At 39.8% G+C, this 22945-nt stretch overlaps 1 protein-coding gene across 9 annotated transcripts in view, besides 1 other annotated feature; it reads right to left on the bottom strand.

The window, feature by feature from the left end:
* Window positions 1-16369, bottom strand: part of MCMDC2 (minichromosome maintenance domain containing 2) — a 55612-nt gene extending 39243 nt beyond the window's left edge. For 5 of the 9 annotated variants that reach the window (XM_011517469.3, NM_173518.5, XM_006716429.3 and 2 more), the window contains exons 1-9: window positions 16309-16369; window positions 12906-13087; window positions 12684-12814; window positions 12554-12613; window positions 9596-9791; window positions 8444-8566; window positions 8221-8325; window positions 6166-6291; window positions 3146-3383 (exon numbers count right to left, since the gene is read on the bottom strand). In XM_011517469.3, coding sequence (XP_011515771.1) covers window positions 3146-3383; window positions 6166-6291; window positions 8221-8325; window positions 8444-8566; window positions 9596-9791; window positions 12554-12613; window positions 12684-12814; window positions 12906-12999 — 1073 coding nt within the window. In that variant the 5' untranslated portion in view covers window positions 13000-13087; window positions 16309-16369. Of the gene's footprint in view, window positions 1-3145; window positions 3384-6165; window positions 6292-8220; window positions 8326-8443; window positions 8567-9595; window positions 9792-12553; window positions 12614-12683; window positions 12815-12890; window positions 13088-15590; window positions 15639-16308 lie in introns of those variants that run through there. The other 4 variants (XM_006716427.4, NM_001136160.2, XM_005251174.3 and 1 more) reach the window with 4 other exon arrangements.
* Window positions 16083-16152: an enhancer, noted in NCBI's record as "active region_27492". NCBI's record gives its function as "activates an Ori minimal core promoter by ATAC-STARR-seq in GM12878 lymphoblastoid cells {active_cell/tissue: GM12878}" and the evidence as "EXISTENCE:reporter gene assay evidence [ECO:0000049][PMID:35858748]".
* Window positions 16370-22945: the final 6576 nt, after the last annotated feature.

Raw genomic sequence — 22945 nt, 5'->3', positions numbered from 1 at the left:
AAAGCTTTATATCTGGAGAAAAATTTTATAATACATATATTTGGCAAAGGACATGCATCCAGAACAACTAAACTAACAAATGAACAAACACTTTATAAAAACAGACACTTCATAAAAAGAGATATATGAGTGGCCAATAAGCACATGAAAAAGAGTTCAAATCAATAGTCACCTCGGAAATGCAAATTAGAACAATGACATATCATTTCATTCCCACTAGTATGGCTAAAATGCAAAGGGCTCACAACACCAAATGTTGATGAGGATGGAAACAAGAGGAACTCTTTACATTGTTGGTAGGAATGTAAAATGGTACAACCACTTCGGAAAACTGGCAGTTTCTTTCTTTCTTTTTTTTTTTTTTTGAGACTGAGTCTTGCTCTGTTGCCCAGGCTGGAGTGCAGTGGCACTATCTCGACTCACTGCAACCTCCACCTCCTGGGTTCAAGCAGTTCTCGTGCCTCAGCTTCCCAAGTGTAGCTGGGTCTACAGGCGCATGCCACCATGCCCAAATAATTTTTGTATTTTTATTAGAGATGGGGTTTCCCCACATTGGCTAGGTTGGTCTCAAATTCCTGACCTCAGGTGATCTGCCTGCCTCAGCCTCCCAAAGTGCTGAGATTACAGTCATGAGCCACTGCGCTCAGCTAACTGGCAGTTTCTTATAAAGTTATAGGCCAGGCACAGTGGCTCATGCCTGTAATCCCAGCACTATGGGAGGCCAAGGCGGGTGGATTACCTGAGGTCAGGAGTTCGAGACTAGCCGGGCCAATATGATAAAACCCTATTTCTACTAAAAATACAAAAATTAGCCAGGTGTGGTGGCATGTGCCTGTAATCCCAGCTACTCGGGAGGCTGAAACAGGGGAATTGCTTGAACACAGGAGGCGGAGGTTGCAGTGAGCCAAGATGGTGCCATTGCACTCCAGCCCGGGCAACAAGAGTGAAACTCCGTCTTAAAAAAAAAAAAAAAAAAAAAAAGTTATACATATACCTTATGACCCAGCAATTCTTCTCCTAGGTATTTACCCAAGATAATGAAAATACATGTCCACAAAAAGACTTGTGCAAGAATGTTTACAGCAGCTTTATTCATAATAGTCAAAACATGCAAAACCAAATGTCTTCCACTACGAGAATAGATAAATGAATTTTGGTACATTCGTATAATGAAATGCTACTCATCAACAGAAACAATGAACTACTGATGTACACAATTGGATCAATTCAAAAATATTTTGTTGAGTAAGAGAGACTAGACCCAAAAGAGGATGCACTGTATGATTTCATTATCTGAAGTTCAAGAACAGGAAAATTAATCTATGGTGACAGAAATCACCAGTGAAGATAGGAACTGATTGGAAGAGGGAAGGAGGGAAATTTCTGGGGTGATAGAAATGTTCTATATCTCATTGTGGTGGTGATTAAAGGAGTGTATGTTAAATTTGTCAAAACTCAATGTTTTTAGTGATGATGATAAGATCTGATTATTTCACTGTATGTAAATTTTACCTAAAAAGAAAAAAACAAACCAATCTCTCACACAGCCCCAAATATCATTTAAAAAGTCTAAAGGTTAATGGCAAACAGAAAAAGAAAGGCCTTAATTTACATGCATCACAAATCAATAATAAATAGATAAACAACATAATAAAAACAACAATGATCAAGAATGGGAGGTTCATAGAAAAATAATACATGTTTAATAAGTTTTATATGATGCAAAAATTATTTCCAATTAAATAAATGCAAATTAAAATAAAATACAATTTTCCACCTATCAGATTGCAATTTTTTTTTTTTTTTTGAGACAGAGTCTCGCTCTGTCGCCCAGGCTGGAGTGCAGTGGTGCGATCTCGGCTCATTGCAACCTCCACCTCCCAGGTTCTAGCAATTCTCCTGCCTCAGCCTCCTGAGTAGCTGGGACTACAGGCGCGTGCCACCACACCTGGCTAATTTTTTGTATTTTTAGTAGAGACGGGGTTTCACGGTGTTAGCCAGGATGGTCTCGATCTCCTGACCTCATGATCCACCCACCTCAGCCTCCCAAAGTGCTGGGATTACAGGCTTGAGCCACCACGCCCAGCCCAGATTGCAAAATTTTAAAGTTGGATAATGAGGTGAGAGGATCGCTTGAGCCCAGGAGTTCAGCCTTAGCAACATAGGGAGACTTTGTTTATATAAAAAATTAAAAAATTAGCCCAGTGTAGTGGCGTGCGCCTCTAGTCACAGCTACTCAGGAGGCTGAGGCTGGAGGATCACTTGAGCCCAGGAGGTTGAGGCTGTTGTGAGCCATGAACATGCTACTGCATTCCAGCCTGGGTGACAGAGTGAGACCCTGTCTCAAAAAATAATGATAACAAAAATATAAGTTTGATAATACCCAGAGCTGGTGAGGCTGTGAGGAAAAAAATTCTGTCAGTAGAAGAATAAAGTGGTACAATCTCGGCATTTGGTACCATATTTACATCACCAGTGGCAATTTAATTTTAGCAAAACATAATCTGTTCAATTAAATTATTGTTAATTTCAATTTTATTTTTTTCTATTTTAAATTCATTTTGTAAATTTATTTTTTGCTTTGGATTTGCATACAAGATACTAAATAGGGAGCTTATTTCTAACTTTGTGAATATTTAAGCAAGTTTTAAGGAAAGGGTACTTGCTAGTGGGGAGCCACAAAATGCTAAATAGAGGCTTACTCCAAAGTTAGGATGATGTTCCCCCCAGATAGTAATTATGGCACTTCTGACAGCCTTATCTGGATGCAGTGAGTCAATATTATTGATGGAATATTGAAGAAAAATAAGAAAATGGTTAGTTTGTTCCTTAGGGGGAAGACTATTCAAAACAAAGTACAGAAAGAGAATACAGAGCTAGGGAATAGGGGGAAAGGAAGGCTGGGAAGGATGTATTTATTTACAAAGGTCTGAGTGGGGAAATAGGTTGAAAATTGGAGTAATTCAACTTATCACTTATCAATTTATCTTTCAAAGGTTTTGAATTTTATTGATAAAGATTGATTTAAATACTTATACTGGCTCAGAAAAATTCTAAATATTCTTCTTGTAATAATGCTCATGGAAAGGATGTATGCAAATCTGTGACCAATTAATATTTGTAAAAATTCATGTCACATATATACCTGTCTATGAGTAGAGTATCACTTGTTATAATTAAAATATCCAGGCAATCTTCCAGTTCCTTGTTACGGTCAGTTGTCTGTACTAGACTCATCAACAAACAGAGCTTGAGCAAATTGTAAGTCCCAGGAGGGGTAATTTGTGATGCAAAGATATTGGCAAGTATTGCTGTAAACTTCCAGCATGAGCTGGAAGTTAAGGAGAGGAGACACCTGAAGTTGTCACTAATTCCTGAAGGAACTGAAAGTAAATATTAACATATATATTAGAAAGGGTTTTAAAACAAGACAACATTATAGATATTTGACTCCCTTTATCTAAAATGTTATCAAATTATAGTTCCAATAATACCATATTCTTTTTTTTTTTGAGACAGGATCTTGTTATGTTTCCCAGGCTGGTCTTGAACCCCTGGCCTCAATTGATTCCCCTGCCTTGACCTCCCAAAGTGCTATGATTACAGGCCTGAGCCACCGTGCTTGGCCTTTAAATTCTTAGAATGATATTAAATTATGATTCGAGGTCATGCTAGTTTACCATTTCTACCTCAAGGAACGTAATAGAAGGAAGAAGTCACCCTTTGTGTCCACATAGATTGGCTGTGGGTTGTAGGCAAATCCCTCATTCTTCTCCTTTTAAGATCTATGTGAGCAAACCAGATCATAGAGCGCCTGCATTGCTGTGTTTGCTCCTATATTTCTATGTATCACCTTCAGAGAGGAATAATAAGCAGAATGGGAAATATTTGAATGTTGCTGTTAAATGGAAAGATTTATATTCCACTACTTTGAAAGTGCTGTACTGTAGTATACTGTAAAATTCTAGATCTTCTCCATCCTCTCACTCTCCACCTCCTGAAAGGAATGAGTGATTTATCCAATTGGTAATTTGGGTGGAACAGCTGTGCATGTATAACCTAGTCCCATTCTCCTTCTTTCTGGGCTGCCATCAAAAAGCAGTGATTTCCTCTAACTCATCCATGCCCATGGACTAAGAGAGGCCTACTTTAGTCCAGCTCTTGCCACATTTGGGTAGTTAAATACATCTCATTCTGGAGTTCAGCATAAGAAAGCACACTCTCCACCTACAGAAAAGTCATGTTCTGCTACCAAATCAATAAATTTTTAAACACTTAGCAGAAAATATTTAAAAGATCACTAAACCCTCTATAATTCATCAGTGCTTTCTTTCTTTAACATTTTTGTTTTTTTAAGAAGCTTTTCTCTTCAAGTAAGTAGAAGTATTTAGAATCTACTTGCATTTAAATTCAACTTGGGTCTCTATTACTACTGATGATTATCCACAGTATGGAGGCTAAAGAAACTTCATCTTGGGCCAGGTGTGGTGGCTAATGCCTGTAATTCCAGCACTTTGGAAGGCCAAGGTGGGCGGATCATGAGGTCAGGAGTTTGAGACCAGCCTGGTCAACATGGTGAAACCCCATCTCTATTAAAAATACAAAAATTAGCTGGGCGTGGTGGTGAGCACCTGTAATCCCAGCCACTTGAGAGGCTGAGGCAGGAGAATCCCTTGAACTCGGGAGGTGGAGGTTGCAGTGAGCTGAGATTGCGTCACTGCACCCCAGCCTAGGTGACAGAGCAAGACTGTGTCTCAAAAAAACAAAAAAAGAAAAAAAAAGAAAAGAAACTTCATCTTGGAAGCTAATCTGCTATGTTGACTTCTGATAATCTGCGAAAGCTCGGAGATTTCCAGTTGATCTATTGTTCCTCATGCAAGAGCACATACTTACCATAAATCCTGCCCTTAGATCAATCAACCTTGATAAATTAATACCTACTGTAAATCCTGTCCTTATATCAATTCCTATCCAATCCCTCTAAAGCATGTGTACTCTTTCCCTATCTAATTCCTGGGTCTGGGGGTAATAGCATGGAGATCTACCTGTCTTGTGGCTGCCCAAGATCATGCTTCTGTCCTTAAGTTCACCAGTAAAACCACCCTATAATGACAAACTGGACTTGTCTGCCTCCTTTGTTTTCTCAGGTTCTTCTGCATTTGGGGATCACTTTGAATATATATAGCCCATTCAGGGAACATACGGATTACAAAAAAATCCAACTCTATTCAAGATTTAATCAGCCTTTTCTATATTTAGATACTTGTGAGCCAAGTTAAAAGAATAGGTCTGCTCTCCACTTTTGTTTACATAATGCTAACGCATGTTGGAGTTGTTAAAGGAAATTATCAGTAATAAAGGTGATATTTTGGTCCTCATCTGCCTTTATCTTATTTCTTGATTTGGTTCAGAATTCAGTTGAGGAAAAGGACGCTTTTTATTTTTTTTTCTTTTTTTTGAGACGGAGTCTCTATCACTCAGGCTGGAATACAGTGGTACAATATTGCCTCACTGCAACCTCTGCCTCCCAGGTTCAACCGATTCTCCTGCCTCAGCCTCCCAAGTAGCTGGGATTACAGGCACCTGCCACCATGCCCAGCTACTTTTGTATTTTTAGTAGAGATGGGGTTTCACCATCTTGGCCAGGCTGGTCTTGAACTCCTGACCTCGTGATCTGCCTGCCTCGGCCTCCCACAGTGCTGGGATTACAGGCGTGAGCCACAGCGCCCAGCCAAGGATGCTACTTTATTGAGCTCTCCTTCTCAGACCACAAAAGTTAACCCAGAATTGCCTTGGCTAGTGGTATAGAAAAATCCTTTGACTAATCTCTAACCTTGAAACATTTTTCTCATTATTAATTATTTAAAAAATTAAAATAAGGCTTAGCCCAAAGAAATAAGTCCTATATGCTAGAAAGTTTCCACAACATTATCCTGTTTTATTTCCTTCATGTACTTATTATCTGAAATTGTCTTTTGCTTACTTTATATGTATATTGACTGTCTGCCATGTGACTTAAGAACAGAAACCTTGACTGTCCTGTTTACAACTGTATTCTTAGTGCTTAGAGGAATGCCTAGCACATAGGCAAACAATACTTATCTGCTGAACAAATAGATTTAAATTTAAATATTTGTTAATATATAATACTAAAATTTTCCTTACCTTTTGAATTACAAAAAGTTATGCTATTTGCTTCTATACAGACAGCAGTTTGTGAGGTTTTTACACAGGTTGGAATTCCAATAATTTTATATTCATTTCCTATATTCATTTTATTCACTGATTCATCTAAAATTATTAAAGACAGAAGAAAATACATATTCACTAAATGAACTTTGTACATGAACATATGGTTCAAAGATCCAGAACTAGTAAAACAATTCAGTAGTTGAGTTAGGAGTATTTACTTTTGTTTAGGATAATATCCATATAGAGTGACACTAATAATATAATCTGATGCAATTTTATTGCTGATAAATTTTTATTCTTATGTGCTATGATGAATTAACTTCAAGAAGCATGTGATATAGCAACTAGACACTCTTCTATAATATGGTCAAAAGAAAATAAAATTATTCCATATAAGATGAAACATTTTTCTATTCAATGAAAAGGAATGTTAATAAAAATGACCTTATAAGTGATAATTTTATTTGAGAGGAAAATAATTTTCCTGTCTACAATACATGTAAGTACTTGTAAAAACATTATTTAACCTATAAAATATGGCTTTTTGTTTGTTTTTGAGACAAAGTCTCGCTCTGTTGCCCAGGCTGTAGTGCAGTGGCACAATCAGTTCACTGTAACCTCAAATTCTAGTGTTCAAGCAATCCTCTTGCCTCAGCCTCCTAAAGTGTTGGGATTACAGGTGTAAACCACCATGCCCAGCATGTAAGATATTCTTATCTGTACTTTATATATTAAGAAACTGAGAGGTTACATGGCTTGCACAAGGCTAAATAACTAGTAAGAAGCAGAACTGAAATTCACATTTAGGTTTGCCTACCCTCAAAGTCTACCCTCTTGCATTATACTAGGTTCCTCTCTCATACCTAGAGCTTGGGCAACACTTTGGATGAGTTCAAAATTTATTTTAAAAAACATACTAAAAATTTTGATCCTCCATTCCACAGTTAGAAGTTGGTTGGTTGTAAAGCTATGAAAGAAAGGTTTACAGGGAGGAGCAAGGGTTAACTTATCTCTGTGAAGATCAGAGTGGTCTTCCTTTTTTTCTCTTTTCTCTCTAGCCCCAGAGAGCTGAACAATAACTCCAATATTTATGTAAGACACACACACAGAATAATAGGAGATCCCATTGTCTTAAAATAACTGTGACCCTGGGACTTAGCTCAGTGCTTGGGACACATTAGGTCCTAATATCATTTTAAGTGAGTGTTGTATGACTGAATGAATAATTGATAATATTAACTAAATATGACTCTTTTAAAACACTCAAGAATTAGAAGACTTGTGATTCTTAAGCTATAGAAGTGCCATTTATAATTTATAAGCATAAACAAGTCAATTGCTTTTTTTTCTTTTTTGAGACAGAGTCCCATTCTGTCACCCAGGCTTGTGTGCAGTGGCACGATATTGGCTCACTGCAGCCTCTGCCTCCCGGGTTCAAGTGATTCTCCTGCCTCAGCCTCCCGAGTAGCTGGGATTACAGGCATCCGTCACCACACCTGGCTAATTTTTGTATTTTTAGTAGAGATGGGATTTCACCATGTTGGCCAGGCTGGTCTTGAACTCCTGACCTTAGGTGATTTACCATCCTAGGCCTCTCAAAATGTTGGGATTACAGGTGTGAGCCACCGCGCCTGGCCAGCTTTTCATTTATTATTTTGTTGTTATTATTATTTTTTTGAGACAGGGTGTCTCTCTGTTGCCCAGACTGGAGTGCAGTGGCACCATCATGGCTCACTGCAGCCTCCAACTCCTGGGCTTAGGCGATCCTCCCACCCTCCCACCTTAGCTTCCCAGGTAGCTAGGACTACAGACACATGCCACCACATCTAGCTAATTTTTTATTTTTTAATTTTTTGTAGAGATGGGGTCTCACTATATTGCTTAAGCTAGTCTCAAACTCCTGGCCTCAAGTGATCCTCCCACCTCAGCCTCCAAAAGTGTTGGGATTACAGGCATGAGCCAGCCACTGTGCCCAGCCAATTACATATTTATAGCAATTTTTTTTTAGTTCAAACAGAATTCACTTACCTCTTAGGAAAATTGTAAGTGATTGAAACCTAAATGGCTGGTTGTTAGAATATCCTTGAAAAGCACGAAGTGCCTTTGTGGCAATTATTTCAACTATTTGTTTATCTTAAAGCAAAGAGCAAAAAATAATTAGATATTAGAATATATATTCAATTTAATTTCCATATTGAAATATCAGACACTATTTTAAAAATTATAATTACAAAATATAAATGCATATTACCACCAAGTACTCTAAATTTTCTGTCTTCTTGAAGTGAAGATGCACATAGATTACACAAAAAGTCATTTCTTATCGTTGCAGATTCTGTAGCACCAGGCACATGCACTCTTATATACTGAAATCCTGAAAGAAAACAGTGGTAACATACATTTGCTTTCAGATTTAGCTATCTATTTTGTTTCTTTTGTTGTTGTCATTTTTTAATTTTTAATTTTATATTTTCTTTTTTCTTTTATTACTGACACAGATTGTAGCTATTACAGTCCTTTAAAATTAGTCTAATTCAAAACGGAATTAATTCAGTTTTGCACTTGGGTTCAGGGTAGTTCAATTAACAGTTAACAGCTGTTTTTTGCAAGGCACTGTGCTAAGGCACTGGCAATATGGATGCTTAAGCACACAATTTCTATATGTGGCAGTGAGAAACAGATAATTTCCACCTGTGGTATTCATTTGCAGCGTGTTCAGAGAGAAGAGAGGAGGGTCAATCAACCCAATTAGAGGTGGTGGGGATAATTTTGAAGTCCTGCAGAAGGACTAAACTGAAGTTAAGCCAAAGGGTTGAGAGAGGACATTAAACGTTTCACTCACAACGTCATGAAATAATGTGTGAGAAGAGCAAGTACTTCAGCAATATAGGTGCACTTGTTAAGATGGGGGCGGGGGAGAAAAGGAGAAAAAATGCATTTCAAGATTATGCAAAGTAAATATATAAACATTAGGAGACATAAAATTTTTATTCAATTTTTTTCTATTTTGTGTTTTATAACTAATTGTAAATATGATTTAGGATTAAACAATAAATTGTTCAATTTTTTTTTTTTTTTTTTTTTAGACAGGGTCACTCTTTGTCATCCAGGCTGGAGTATAGTGGCATGAACACAGCTCACTGCAGCCCCGACCTCCCTGGCCCAAGCAATCCTCCCAACTCAGTGTCTTGAATAGCTGAGACTACAGGCATGTGCCACCATGCTGGGCTAATTTTTGTATTTTTTGTAGAGACGAGGTTTCTCCATGTTGCCCAGGCTGGTCTCAAACTCCTGAGCTCAGGTGATCCTCCCTCCTCAGCTTCCCAAAGTGCAGGGATTACAGGTGTGAGCCACCATGCCTAGCCAATTGCTTAATGCTTTGATTTTCCTATTTAACATTTACCTTTTGAAAGAGGGCATGCTTCATCTGAACAAAGAAATCTTGCCCCTTGTGTATACTTGGTTATAGTTGTCATTGCAATCACAATTCCTTGCATCATATAAAATCTCTGAGATGTATAATCAAGTGGAAACTCACAAAGATCAAGACCATAACTTGGCAGGGGAGGTAAATGTGTTAATTTCAGCACTATATTAATCTAATAAGAACATAAAAATGGTATTAATGAAAATTGCAAATCCAATTTGACTTGTATTACAATATAGTAAGTATATTATAAAGAAAGTCAAGTAATGATATGTTATTGTTCTTAGGAACCAAAATTTTAAGCATTAGAGAAACAACATTCAAGTATAAAATTAAAGAAGTAAAAATCCTGTAATCTAATATTTTAATTGAAAATAGCATTATGAACTTTAAATTTTTCCTTAAATATACACAATTTCTGACCATATCCACTGAAAAGACTTAAAAAACAATGTCAACCAGGGCCGGGCACGGTGGCTCACCCTGTAATCCCAGCACTTTGGGAGGCCAAGGCGGGCAGATCACGAGGTCAGGAGATCGAGACCATCCTGGCTAACATGGTGAAACCCCTTCTCTACTAAAAATACAAAAAATTAGCCGGGTGTGATGGCAGGCGCCTGTAGTCCCAGCTACTCGGGAGGCTAAGGCAGGAGAATGGCATGAACACGGGAGGCGGAGCTTGCAGTGAGCCGAGGTCGCGCCACTGCACTCCAGCCTGGGCAACAGAGTGAGACTCCAGCCTGGGTGACAGAGTGAGACTCCATCTCAAAATAAAATAAAATAAATAAATAAATAAAATAAAACAATGTCAACCAGGTAGCAAAGAAGCACGCCTAGTGCCCAGATTGTGATCTCTTGTTAAGTATCATTTCTTACTAAAAGGAATCAGGATTCCTTGGGGGAAATGGCTGATTTCAGGCCTGGGATAGAAAATATAGCAGATGGACTTGGGGTATGGTCTAACAAATGGCCTGTGTCAAAAGGACATAGGAGCAACCTTGAAGGGACCCCCAGTGACAAAAGGTAGGCTAATATGAGCATCAAAAGGAATGACAAAGATTCACTGAAACATACCATATATATTTAAAAGTTCATGAGTTCCTTATATTTAAAAATGGAAACCCTCCCCCTCAAAAAATATTGGCCATTATTGGAAGCTGCTAGATTTCAACTCATTACTCTTTATAAAGGCAAAGAATCAAACATTTACCCTGCCTTTCCTGTACAAATTGTATTTCAGAGTAACTAAATAGCTGATGAGAGAAAATTACTCTTACAGAAGAATTTCAGCTAATTCAGAAAGAATGCTAAAATTAGAAAAATTACAGTTTTGCATCTCCTAATGAAATAACGAATTCTAGGCAATGAACATCAATGGCTGCTAAAACCATTAGGTGAAAGTTGATGGGAAATTGTATAATGGAGAGATGAGAATGACATCACAGGAACCCACTAATCAATTGTGACACTGTTAAAAGTGCAACAATAGATACTATATCCTCCTGATATAGCACAATATGTAATACATTATACTATTATGTATTCTTGTCAAGTGATTTGAATCTGAATCTAAAAAGCCTTTACAGTCATCTTCTATTTTAGAAATATGAGGTTGGGAAATAAGATAAATAGCCCTACAAGGAAGCAATTAGACAAATCAAGATTATATAACGTAGGACCAATTAGTTTCTTCAAAAAGGTAATGGTCTAAAAAGGGAGGGAGAGGAAATGGCTCTAGATTGAAAGAGACTTAGTGAGATGTAAGAACCAATTATAATGTGTGAACCTTGTTTTGGTCCTGATTTGGAACAAACCTATTGTAAGATATTCTTGAAACAATTGGGCAAATTTAAATGTAAACTGGATATTACATAATACCAAGGGAATTATTGTTACTTTTGTAAGGGTGATAACATTCTGGTAACATAACAAAAATGTCCATGGCCGGGCACAGTAGCTCACACCTGTAATCCCAGCACTTTGGGAGGCCGAGGCGGGTGGATCACCTGAGGTCGGGAGTTCAAGACCAGCCTGACCAACATGGAGAAACCTCGTCTTTACTAAAAATACAAAATTAGCCAGGTGTGGTGGCACATGCCTGTAATCCCAGCTACTTGGGAGGCTGAGGCAGGAGAATTGCTTGAATCCAGGAGGTGGAGGTTGTGGTGAGTCAAGATCACGCCATTGCACTCCAGCCTGGGCAACAAGAGCAAAGCTCCTTCTCAAAAAAAGAAAGAAGAAAAATGTCCATAATTTTTACAGGTTGATACTAAAGTATGTAGGGATAAAATAATAGAATATCTGGGATTTGCTTTAAAATAATTTAGAAAAAAATTGATGATGCAGGTATGAAAAAATATTATAACATTGAATCTGAGTTGAGTGGTAGATATATGAAGGTTCACTGTATTATTCCCTTTACTTCTGGGTATGTTTGAAAAGTTTTATTATAAAAGTGTTTAATGTTGGCCAGGCGCGGTGGCTCACGCCTGTAATCCCAGCACTTCAGGGTGCCAATGTGGGCGGATCATGAGGTCAGGAGTTCGAGATCAGCCTGGCCAGCATGGTGAAACCCTGTCTCTACTAAAAATACAAAAATTAGCTGAGCGTGGTGGTGGGCACCTGTAATCCCAGCTACTTGGGAGGCTGAGGCAGGATTGTTTGAACCCGGGAGGCAGAGGTTGCAGTGAGCTGAGATTGTGCCACTGCACTCCAGCCTGGCGACAGAGCGAGACTCCATCTCAAAAAAAAAAGAAGTGTTTAATGTTATAAAGGATAATACAAGAAATAAAGATGCCTATGTAAGATATTCTATTGAATTTTGAAAAAAAGTAGTATCCTTTTAAATAAAAAGTCTATGAATATAAAAATATTTTTTTACAAGTCATCATGTAAATCTGTACCTGAGTTTGCTTAAATGTAACTAAAACTTACTTGCGTTTCAGTCTGCAATTGTCCAATTAATGAGAGAGTCTTAACAGCAATAAAACAGACCTGTGATTTCAAACAAAAAAAGTTACCAAAAATTCCATGTGGCATAAAATTATTTCTTTTTTTGACTTACTGATTGAAAGACTTCAGCAGCTTTTAAAGGTTGGTGTAAAATGTGATTTCCAAGCTCAGCATCTAATTCAACAACATCAGAGGGATTTATTAAAATTTTGAATCGATAGACAGCATAGCTTTGTTTTGAATCTATGAAAATATACAAATGTAAAAGTCAGGATAGCTATGTGTAGGAGTTTATTTGAAAGTTTTAAAAATAACTCACCTTTGCTGAACGTACCATTGTAGTACTTGCAATCATCTATAAACTTTTGGAGGCCTCCACTTCTGTCAAGATAGATGAGGGCCGCCTCTTTCATTTTTAGATTTGACATTTTCTCCTGGTTAATATTTCTAATTGATTAAACCACAATTGTTGATAAAAGCTATAGATGGCGAAACTCATAGAAAGGATGTGAAAACCTAGAAATAAAATTAATTTTATTTTTGAAAATCTCTAATAAGACTTTACAAATTATTAAAGTTGACAGTGAACTAAAACTAGGCAAAATTTCCAACTTAAAAACATTCCTACCCAATGAAAACAAAACTTTTGTTTTCTTTTGCCAAATAACTTCTTTTTTTTTTTGAGATGGAGTCTCGCTCTGTTGCCCAGGCTGGAGTGCAGTGGCGCAATCTCAGCTCACTGCAACCTCCACCTCCCAGGTTCAAGCGATTCTCCTGCCTCAGCCTCCCAAGTAGCTGGGACTACAGGTGTGTGCCACCATGCCCGGCTAATTTTTTGTATTTTTAGTAGAGATGGGGTTTCATTGTGTTAGCCAGGATGGTCTTGATCTCCTGACCTCGTGATCCGCCAGCTTCAGCCTCCCAAAGTACTGGGATTACAGGTGTGAGCCATCGCGCCCAGCCCAAATAACATTTTTATCAAGACTGTTATGAGATCCTCCACAAGATCGAAAACTTAAAAACAGGAACCTCAAATGTCTCTTAACAGAGGTACTCCCAAAAATGTTTGTTGAAATAAACAATATCTGATGATGAGGGTCCTTTCCAGGTGTTGTTTAAAAAATGAAACTGGTAAAAGTTGTTTCATAAATTCAATCTAAGTAACAAAATATAGTAGAATTAGTATTAAACTGGGAAACCTGAGAACTTGGTTCTAGACCCAGCATTTCCTGGTTGCTATGGGGAAATCATCTGACCTCTCTTGGCTCAGTATCTATCTGTAGGAAAGGAAAGTGTTGTATCAGATGATTAAAGCCCCTTCCAATTTTAAATATTGTGTCAGTGACCAACATAAAACATTAAACCACAGTAATGAGTAAAGAATGGAATATGTGAAATTCATTGAAAGACAGCAAATACTAATTGGAAACAATATATGTCAGTAGTTGTAACAGGTGCTAGAAATAAAATGATTAATAGGTGCTAAAATAAAATGATTAAGATTGGATCCTGCCTTTCAAGAAGTTGCTAGGCAGAGACAGAGAAGTCAGAAATAATGACTAACACGTTATTCATTCATTACCAGGTTGTTTTTTTTTTTTTTTTTTTTTTGAGATGGAGTCCCAACTCTGTCGCCCAGGCTGGAGTACAGTGGCACTATCTTGGCTCACTCCAGTCTCCACCCCTGGGTTCAAACGATTCTCCTGCTTCAGTCTCCCAAGTAGCTGGGATTATAGGCATGTGTCACCCGGCCCAGCTAATTTTTGTATTTTTAGTAGAGACGGAGTTTCACCATGTTGGCCAGGTTGGTCTCGAACTCCTGACCTCAAGTGATCTGCCCGCCTTGGCCTCCCAAAGTGCTGGGATTACAGGCGTGAGCCACCGCACCCGGCCTCATTACCAAATATTTATTTGGCACCTACTATAGGTTGGATACTAGATTGTCCTAGGCACTTAAGGATACTAAGATGAGTAAAATATTGTCCCTATCCTTCAGAAAGAGTGCAGTGAGAGAAGACATATATGTAAACAGTTACATGGCAATTTAAGTGCTGTAATAGAAATATGAATATACCAGGTAGCATGAAAGGAACAACATATATGAAATATTTCACAAAATTTGGGGTCATCCTTGTATATGGGTCATAACATTTTCCATTATTTTAAGACATTTTCATTGAAGATGGTGGGGTCATAGGGAAGAAGGTATGAATTCTACTTTAAGGTGACATTTGATAGACGACTATTTCACTAATTGGAGGAGAGGTGAAGAGAAAGAGAAAGTGTTCCAGAGATGGAGGTCACCTTCCACCCTCATTATCAGTTTTACACTACTGGATCCACACACCCACTACGTGGAGTTCAGGCTACTTTCCAAAGAAAACCAATTAAGACTGTCCTTTTTGCTACAACATAAAAGTGAAACTTTAGCGTTTATTTCTCCGTGGCCATAAGGACAATGATCTCAAAATGTGTGTTGTGTTCAGAACATCACATCTTTGCTGCACTAGAACATTAGGTTTCTGGGGTGGAATGAAGGGCGACTATTGGTAATTAAATGGTTGGGTGAGGCCAGATTATGTACGCTTTTGAAGATTATATAGGCAAAGGGAAGCCATCAAAGTTTTTTTAAGGGGGTTAGTATTATAGTCAGATTTTTTTTTTTTTTGAGACAGGGTCTCACTATGTTGCCCAGGTTGGAGTTGCAGTGGCGTGATCTCGGCTTGCTGCAGCCTCTACCTCCCGGGCTCAAGCTATCCTCCCTTCTCAGCCTGGGACTATAGGCACGTGCCACCACATCCAGATAATTTTTAATTTTTTTGTAGAGACGGAGTTTTACTGTGTTGCCCAGGCTGGTCTCCAACTCTTGGGTAGCTGTCTCATCCTCCCAAAGTGCTGGGATTACAGGTATGAGCCACTACGCCTAGCCCATAGTCAGATTTTTATTTTGGAAACCTGTGCCTGCTGCCAATGTGGAAAGTAGGTTGGAATAGCGGGAGAGCTGATAATCAGTTTCTACCTATTGGGATATTCCTACAAGTTGGATGGCCTGATCCAGGGCATTAGGAACGAAATGGAATGGAGGAGATCGATTCTAGAATTTTAAAGATTGCACACTGGACCTGGTGATCAGTCTACAATACGCAGAAGAGTAATCGAAAGCTAAGTGGGGTTTTAATATGGGTATGGGTGGATGCTGCTGCTCTAATGGAAATACAGAGCCCAAGGAGAAGTGTTAAGGACATGAGGAAAAGTTCCCTTGAGATATCCTGACTTTGAGGACTCTTGGGATTCCCTGATAGATGTAAGCAGGAGGGGGCCATAAATCAGGGCCTGGAGTTCGGTGGCATCAAAAGAGTTAGAGCTAAGTCTGGGTGTCACTGCGTAAAGCGGAGGCCCTGGGGAGTGGACGCGTTTTCACGGAGGCATATTAAGTCGGGAAAAGACATAGAAGCCTGTGGAAAAGCGTTAAGTGAGGGAACAGGGATAAAATTCTAACTCCCTGTCTTCCCTTAGTCTAACGAACGCCGAGTGTTGCTGCACGTGGAACAGGCGCGGATTCTGTCTTCTCTCCGTGCCCTGTCAGCACCGGGGATGAACTGGTGAGGGGAAGACTGCAGGAAAACACTTCACAACCAAAGCGGATGAAAGCGAGTCCAGACTCATGAGGACCCCTCCCACTGACAGCGGTGACCTCGAGTTAGTGGGACCCCAGCGCTGTAGTGCTTTGCACTCACCTTGACTCCCACCAAGCTTGGCGGTTGCTCTCCGCCTGCAGCGTAGGCGGAGCGGAGTCCTAGCGCGCATGCGCGCACGTCCCGGCCGTTGGCTGCGTCGCGGGGCCTGCCGGGACCGCCCGCGCCCTCGGGTCAGCAGGGGAACTAGCCGGGCTTGTTCCCTTACGTTTTAATAGCTTCACTCTTGCTCCCTCCCAGCGAAGCAGAGAAAAAATAGGTCTACGTTTGGTTTTTGTTGTTATCTCAGGCAAATGATGTTATGTTTAAAAAATTCAAAACGCTGCTTCAGGGAATGCAAAATGTCTAGTCACTTTAGAAGACATTCCAGTATTCCCTCGAAGGACTCAACATAAAGTTACCCTATGATCCAGTAATTCCACTCTTAGGTATTTATAAATACACCCAAGAGAATTGAAAACATATGTTCACACAGAGACTTCTACACGAATGTTCATAGTATTATTCATAGTAGCCCCAAAGTGGAAACAATATGAATGCCCATCACCGATTAATGGATAACTGTGGTGTAAGCCATACAATGGAATGGTTTTGGCCATAAAACGTGATGAGGCACTAATACATGCTACAACATGGATGAACCTGGCAAACACTATGTAAGAAGCCAGACACAAAAGGCCATATGTTGTGTAATTTTGTTTATATGAAATGTCCAGAATAGGCGAATCCATAAGGAAAGAAAGCAGATTTGTGGTTGCCCAGAGGTTGGTTGAGAATGCAGAATGATTGCTAATGCGTATGGGATTTCTTGTTCTTTTTAAATTGTGGTAAAATATACATAAAATATACAATTTTAACCATCCTAAAGTGTAGTTACACTACCTACGTTCACACTGTGCACTCATCACCACTATCTGTAGAACTGTTTTCATTTTCCCAAACTGAAACTCCATACACATTAAACAACTCCCCATTCTTCTCTTCCTCATCCCCTGGCAACCATCAGTCTTTGCTTCCTTGAATTCGACTACTCCAGGTACCTCATGTAAATAGAATCAAACAGTATTTGTCCATTTGTGATGGGCTTATTTCACTTTGCCAAACATCTTCCAGTTTCATCCATGTTGTAACATGTTAGAGTTTCCTTCCTTTTTAAGGCTGAATAATATTCCACTGTGTGTGTACCATATTTTTTGTTGTTCATGAATTCACACAGGTTTTCTTTTAGAAGTGATGGAAATGATCTAAAATTGATTGTGGTGATAGTCACACAACTCTGAATCTACTGAAAGCCAGTTGATTGTACATTTTAAATAGTTGAATTGTACAGTACTTGAATTAAATCTTATTGAGGTTGGCCGGGTGCGGTGGTTCACGCCTATAATCCCAGCACTTTGGGAGGCCAAGGCGGGTGGGTCACTTGAAGTCGGGAGTGGACACCAGCCTGGACAACATGGTGAAACCCCATCTCTACTAAAAATACAAAAATTAGCCAGGTGTGGTGGCGCGCGCCTGTAATTCCAGCTACTCTGGATTAATACTATTAGCAGACAGGATAATCACTTGAACCCAGGAGGCAGAAGTTGCAGTGAGCAGATATCGCACCATTGCACTCCAACCTGGGCGATAGAGCGAGACCCTGTCTCCAAAAAAAAAAAAAAAGAAACTGTTACCAAAAAACCCCAAACCCTTAAATTGTACCTGCTTCTCCACCATTAGTATTTCCTTTTTTTTTTTTTTAAGACAAGGTCTACCTGTGTCCCAGGACACAGTGGCCCAATCAGGGCTCATTGCAGTCTCAATCTCCTGGCTCAAGTGATCCTCTCACCTCAGGCTCCCAAGTAGCTAAGACTTCAACTATGCCTGGCAAACTTGTAAATTTTTTTTCGTAGAGACAGGGGTCTCATTTTGTTTCCCATGCTGGTCTCATACTCCCGGGCTCAAGCAATCATCCACCTCAGCCTCCCGAAGTGCTGGGATTACAGGCATGAGCCACCGTGCCTGGCCTCAACCTTTAGTGTTCTTGATACAGTTATCAACTCTGCTCCATTGCATTGGGTTGGATCATTTTCCATGAAAAAGTAATTGAGGTCATCCCTTTTCATATATAATAGGAGTGGCAAAACACCTCAGAGTTTGTTTCTCTGGGAGAATATAATCTATTTTAGTTGTGAGATAAAATACTTTTTCAGAGTAGAAATCAATTTACAACAACAATGAGGATGTTCAAATTGTCTTGTACTACAATTCTGTGGTAATAACTACAGTTTTAGATGGGAATAGGCTATGGTCTGGTGATGGCCATTGTATTTTAAAGTAGAATAAATTCTTCTAGAGGGTATCCATATATTTTAAAGTTTTTTTTGAGATGGAGTCACACTGTGTTGCCCAGGTTGGAGTGCAGTGGCATGATCTCTGCCTCCTGGGTTCAAGCAATTCTCATGCCTCAGCCTCCCGAGTAGCTGGGATTACAGGCACATGCCACCACGCCTGGCTAATTTTTGAGTTTCTCGTAGAGTTGGGGTTTCACCATGTTGGCCAGGCTGGTCTTGAACTCCTGACCTCAGGTGAACCTCCTGCCTTGGCCTCCCAAAGTGGTGGGATTGTTATAGGCATGAGCCACCGCGTCTGGCTATTTTAAAGTTTTGATTAATCAGTTCATAGCATAACATCGTTCGTTTCTGCACCAGAGTAATAGTTTTATATCAACCAAGTCCAGCAAAATCTTCTAATAGATTTTTATGTATTTAATACATCCTATAAAATATCTGCACAGTCAGGCATGGTGGCATGCACCTGTAGTCCCAGCTACTAGGGAGGCTGAAGTGGGAGGTTGCAGTGCATTATGGTTGCACCACTGGACTCTGGCCTAGGTAAAAAGTGAGACTCTTAGAAAAAAAAAATCTGTTAGACCTAAAATTGGAATTTAAAACCTTAAGAATTCAGCACATTTTATACATTGCAAACTCTCTGAAAATGATAGCGATATCTAGAGTCAAAATGCCATTGCTGCTTATTGCTACATACTTACAATACTTTATTTTTACAAAACATCACTAAACAGCAGAAAGAAATTACATGCAATCTGGTAAAATGGCTCAAATATTAAGGTGGTAGAATTATGAATTATTTTTATTTTTGCCTTTCATATAGCTTTTTTGCCTTTTAATATTTTTCATTGAGGTATAATTCATATGTAGCAAAATGAACGGCTCTTACATATTGTCTTATGAGTTTTTGAGTTTTGAGAAACACAAAGCTTTTATTTTTTATTTTTTGTTTTTATATTATTATTATTATTATTATTATTATTATTATTATTTTGAGATGGAGTTTTGCTCTTGTCTCCTAGGCTAGAGTGCAATGGCTTGATCTTGGCTCACTGCAACCTCCGCCTCCCAGGTTCAAGTGATTCTCCTGCCTCACCCTCCTGAGTAGCTGAGATTACAGACACCTGCCACCATACCTGGCTGATTTTTGTATTTTTAGTGAAGACAGAGTTTCCCCATGTTGGCCAGGCTGGTCTCGAACTGCTGACCTCAGGTGATCCACCTGCCTTGGCCTGTCAAAGTGCTGGGGTTACAGGTGTGAGCCACTGCACCTGGCCAATTTTTTATTTTTAAAATTTTTTTCAAAGCTTTCTTTTAATTTTAATTTTTAAATTCTGTTTATTTTTGCCATGACATATTTTCATCAGATAATTAAAAAAAATTTTTTTAGACACGGTCTCACTCTGTCACCCAAGCTGGAATGCAGTGGTGCCATCTCAGCTGACTGCAACCTCCATCTCGTGGGCTCAAGGGATCCTCCCGCTTCAGCCTCTGCAATAGCTGGAACTATAAGTGCATGCCACCACACCTGACTTAACAGGTATTTTAAAGGATGTATTAAATACAGAAAAATCTATTAGAAGATCCTTCTGCCTCAGCCTCCCTAGTAGCTGGGACTACAGGTGTGCACCACCACACCCAGCTAATTTTTTTTGTATTTTTTGTAGACAGGGTCTCACCATGTTGCCTTGGCTGGTCTCAAACTCCTGGGCTCAAGCAACCTGCCCATCTCAGCCTCCCAAAGTGCTAGGATTGCAGGTGTGAGCCATCATGCCCAGCCAGCCTTGTAATATATATTAAAGTCAGGTAATGATGCCTCCAGCTTTGTTCTTTTTTTTTTTCTTTTTGTTTGTTTTTTTGAGATGGGGTCTTTCTCCGTCACCCAGGCTGGAGTGCAGTGGAGTGATCACAACTCACTGCAGCCTTGAACTCCCAGGCTCAAGTGATCCTCCTGCCTCAGCCTCCCGAGAAGCTGGGACTACTGGCACATGCCACCATGCCTGGCTAATTTTGAAATTTTTTTGTAGAGATGGGGTCTCTCTTTGTGGCCATGGGCTCAAGTCATCTTCCTGTCTTGGCCTCCCAAAGTGCTGGGGTTATAGGCGTGAGCCACCCAGCCAAGCTTTGCTCTTTTTGCTCAGGCTTTGTTTAGCAATTCAGGCTCTTTTTTGGTTCCATATGAATTTTAGGATAGCTTTTCTAATTCTGATAAGAATTGCATACAATCTATAGGTTGCTTTGGGCATCATGGTCATTTTAATGATATTAATTCTTCTGATCCATGATCCACGAGATGTTTTTCCATTTGTGTCATCTTCAATTTCTCTCTGTTTTGTAGTTTTCCTTGCAGAGATCTTTCACCCCCTTATTTACATTTATTCCTAGGTGTTTTTTGGTTGTTGCTGCTGCTTTGTTGCTATTGTAAATGGAACTGCCTTCTTACTTGCTTTCTCAGCTAGATCATTATTGGTGTATAAAAATGCTACTAGCTGGGTGCAGTGGCTCACGCCTGTAATCCCGCACTTTGGGAGGCCAAGGCAGGCGGATCACCTGAGGTCAGGAGTTCGAGACAAGCCTGGCCAACATGGTGAAACCGTGTCTCTACTAAAAATACAAAAAGTTAGCCGGGCGTGGTGGCGGGCATCTGTAATCCCAGCTATTTGGGAGGCTGAGGCAGGAGAATCGCTTAAACCCAGGAGGTGGAGGTTGCAGTGAGCCGAGATCGCGCCACTGCACTTCAGCCTGGGCAACAGAGTGAGACTCCAGCAAAAAAAAGAAAGCTACTGATTTTAGTGTGTTGATTTTGTATCCTGCAATTTTACGGAATTCATTTTTCAAACCTAAGAGTTTTGGGGTGGAGTCTTTTACTTTCTTTCTTTTTTTTTTTTTTTTTTTTGAGACAGGGTCTTATTCTGCAGCCCAGGTTGGAGTGCATTAGTGGTGCAATCACAGCTCACTGCAGCCTTGATCTTCTGGGCTCAAGCGATCCTCCCACCTTTGCTCCCCAAGTAGCTGTGACTTGGGGAGCAAGTAGGTAGCTGTAGACGTGTACCAACATGCCTGGATAATTTTTTATTTTTTTGTAGAGACAGGGTTTCACCATGTTAGCCAGGCTGGACTTCAACTCCTGGACTCAAGAGATCTGCCTGCCTTGGCCTCCTAAAGTGTTGGGATTACAGACATGAGCCACTGTGCTTGGCCAGGTTTTTCTAGATATAGGATCAGGCTAGGCGTGGTGGTTCATGCCTGTAATCCCAACACTTTGGGAGGCTGAGGAGGGAGGAATGCTTGAGGTCAGGAGTTCGAGACCAGCCTGGGCAACACAGCAATACCTCATCTCTACTAAAAATGCAGTTAGCCAGGCATGACTGGCTAGTTTATCACATATGATAAACTACAGGTGTGTGCCTGTAGTCCCAGCTACTTTAGAGGCTGAGGTGGGAGGATCACTTGAGCCTGAGATTGAGCTACAGTGAACCATGATTGCAGTACTGCACTCCAGCCTGGGCACCAGGGCAAGAACATGTCTAAAAAGAAAAAAAACATCATCAGTGGAGAGGGTCAATTTAACTTCCTTTTTTTTTTTTTTGAGACAGTCTCGCTCTGTCACCCAGGCTGCAGTGTAGTGGCACCATCTCAGCTCGCTGCAACCTCTGCCTCCCTTCTGGGTTCAAGCGATTCTCCTGCCTCAGCCTCCCTAGTAGCTGGTATTACAGGCACCCACCACTACGCCTAGCTAATTTTTGTATTTTAGTAGAGACGGGGTTTCCCCATGTTGGCCAGGCTGGTCTCAAACTCCTGACCTCAAGCAATCCACCTGCCTCGGTCCCCCAAAGTGCTGGGAGTACAGATGTGAGCCACTGTGCCTGGCCTAACTTCCTCTTTTCCAACGTGGATGCTTTTTCTTTCTCTTGCCTGATGGCTCTGGCTATGACTTCCAGAACTATGTCGAATAGAAGTAGTGAAAATGGGCGTCCTTGTATTGTTCCAGTTCTTAGAGGCAAGGCTTTCAACTTTTTCCATTCATTATATTACCTCTGGGTTTATCATATATGGCCTTTATTATTTTTAGGTATATTCCTTCTATGCCTTGTTTTGTTGAGGGTTTTTATAATAAAGAGATGTTGAACTTTATGAAATGCTTTTTCTCCATCTATTGAGATGATTATGTATTTTCTCCTTCATTCTGTTGATGTGATGTATCATGTGTATTGATTCGCATATGTTGAACCATCCTTGCATCTGTTACATATACTTGACATAGGATCAAGTATAAATCCCAGTTGATTGTGGTGTATTATCATTTTGATTTGGCTGTGATTCCATTCAGTCATAGGCTTTTCTTTGTT

The sequence above is a fragment of the Homo sapiens genome, chromosome 8 (genome assembly GCF_000001405.40).
Source record: "Homo sapiens chromosome 8, GRCh38.p14 Primary Assembly".
NCBI lineage: Eukaryota > Metazoa > Chordata > Mammalia > Primates > Hominidae > Homo > Homo sapiens.
This window is presented reverse-complemented; position numbering and strand designations above follow the sequence as displayed.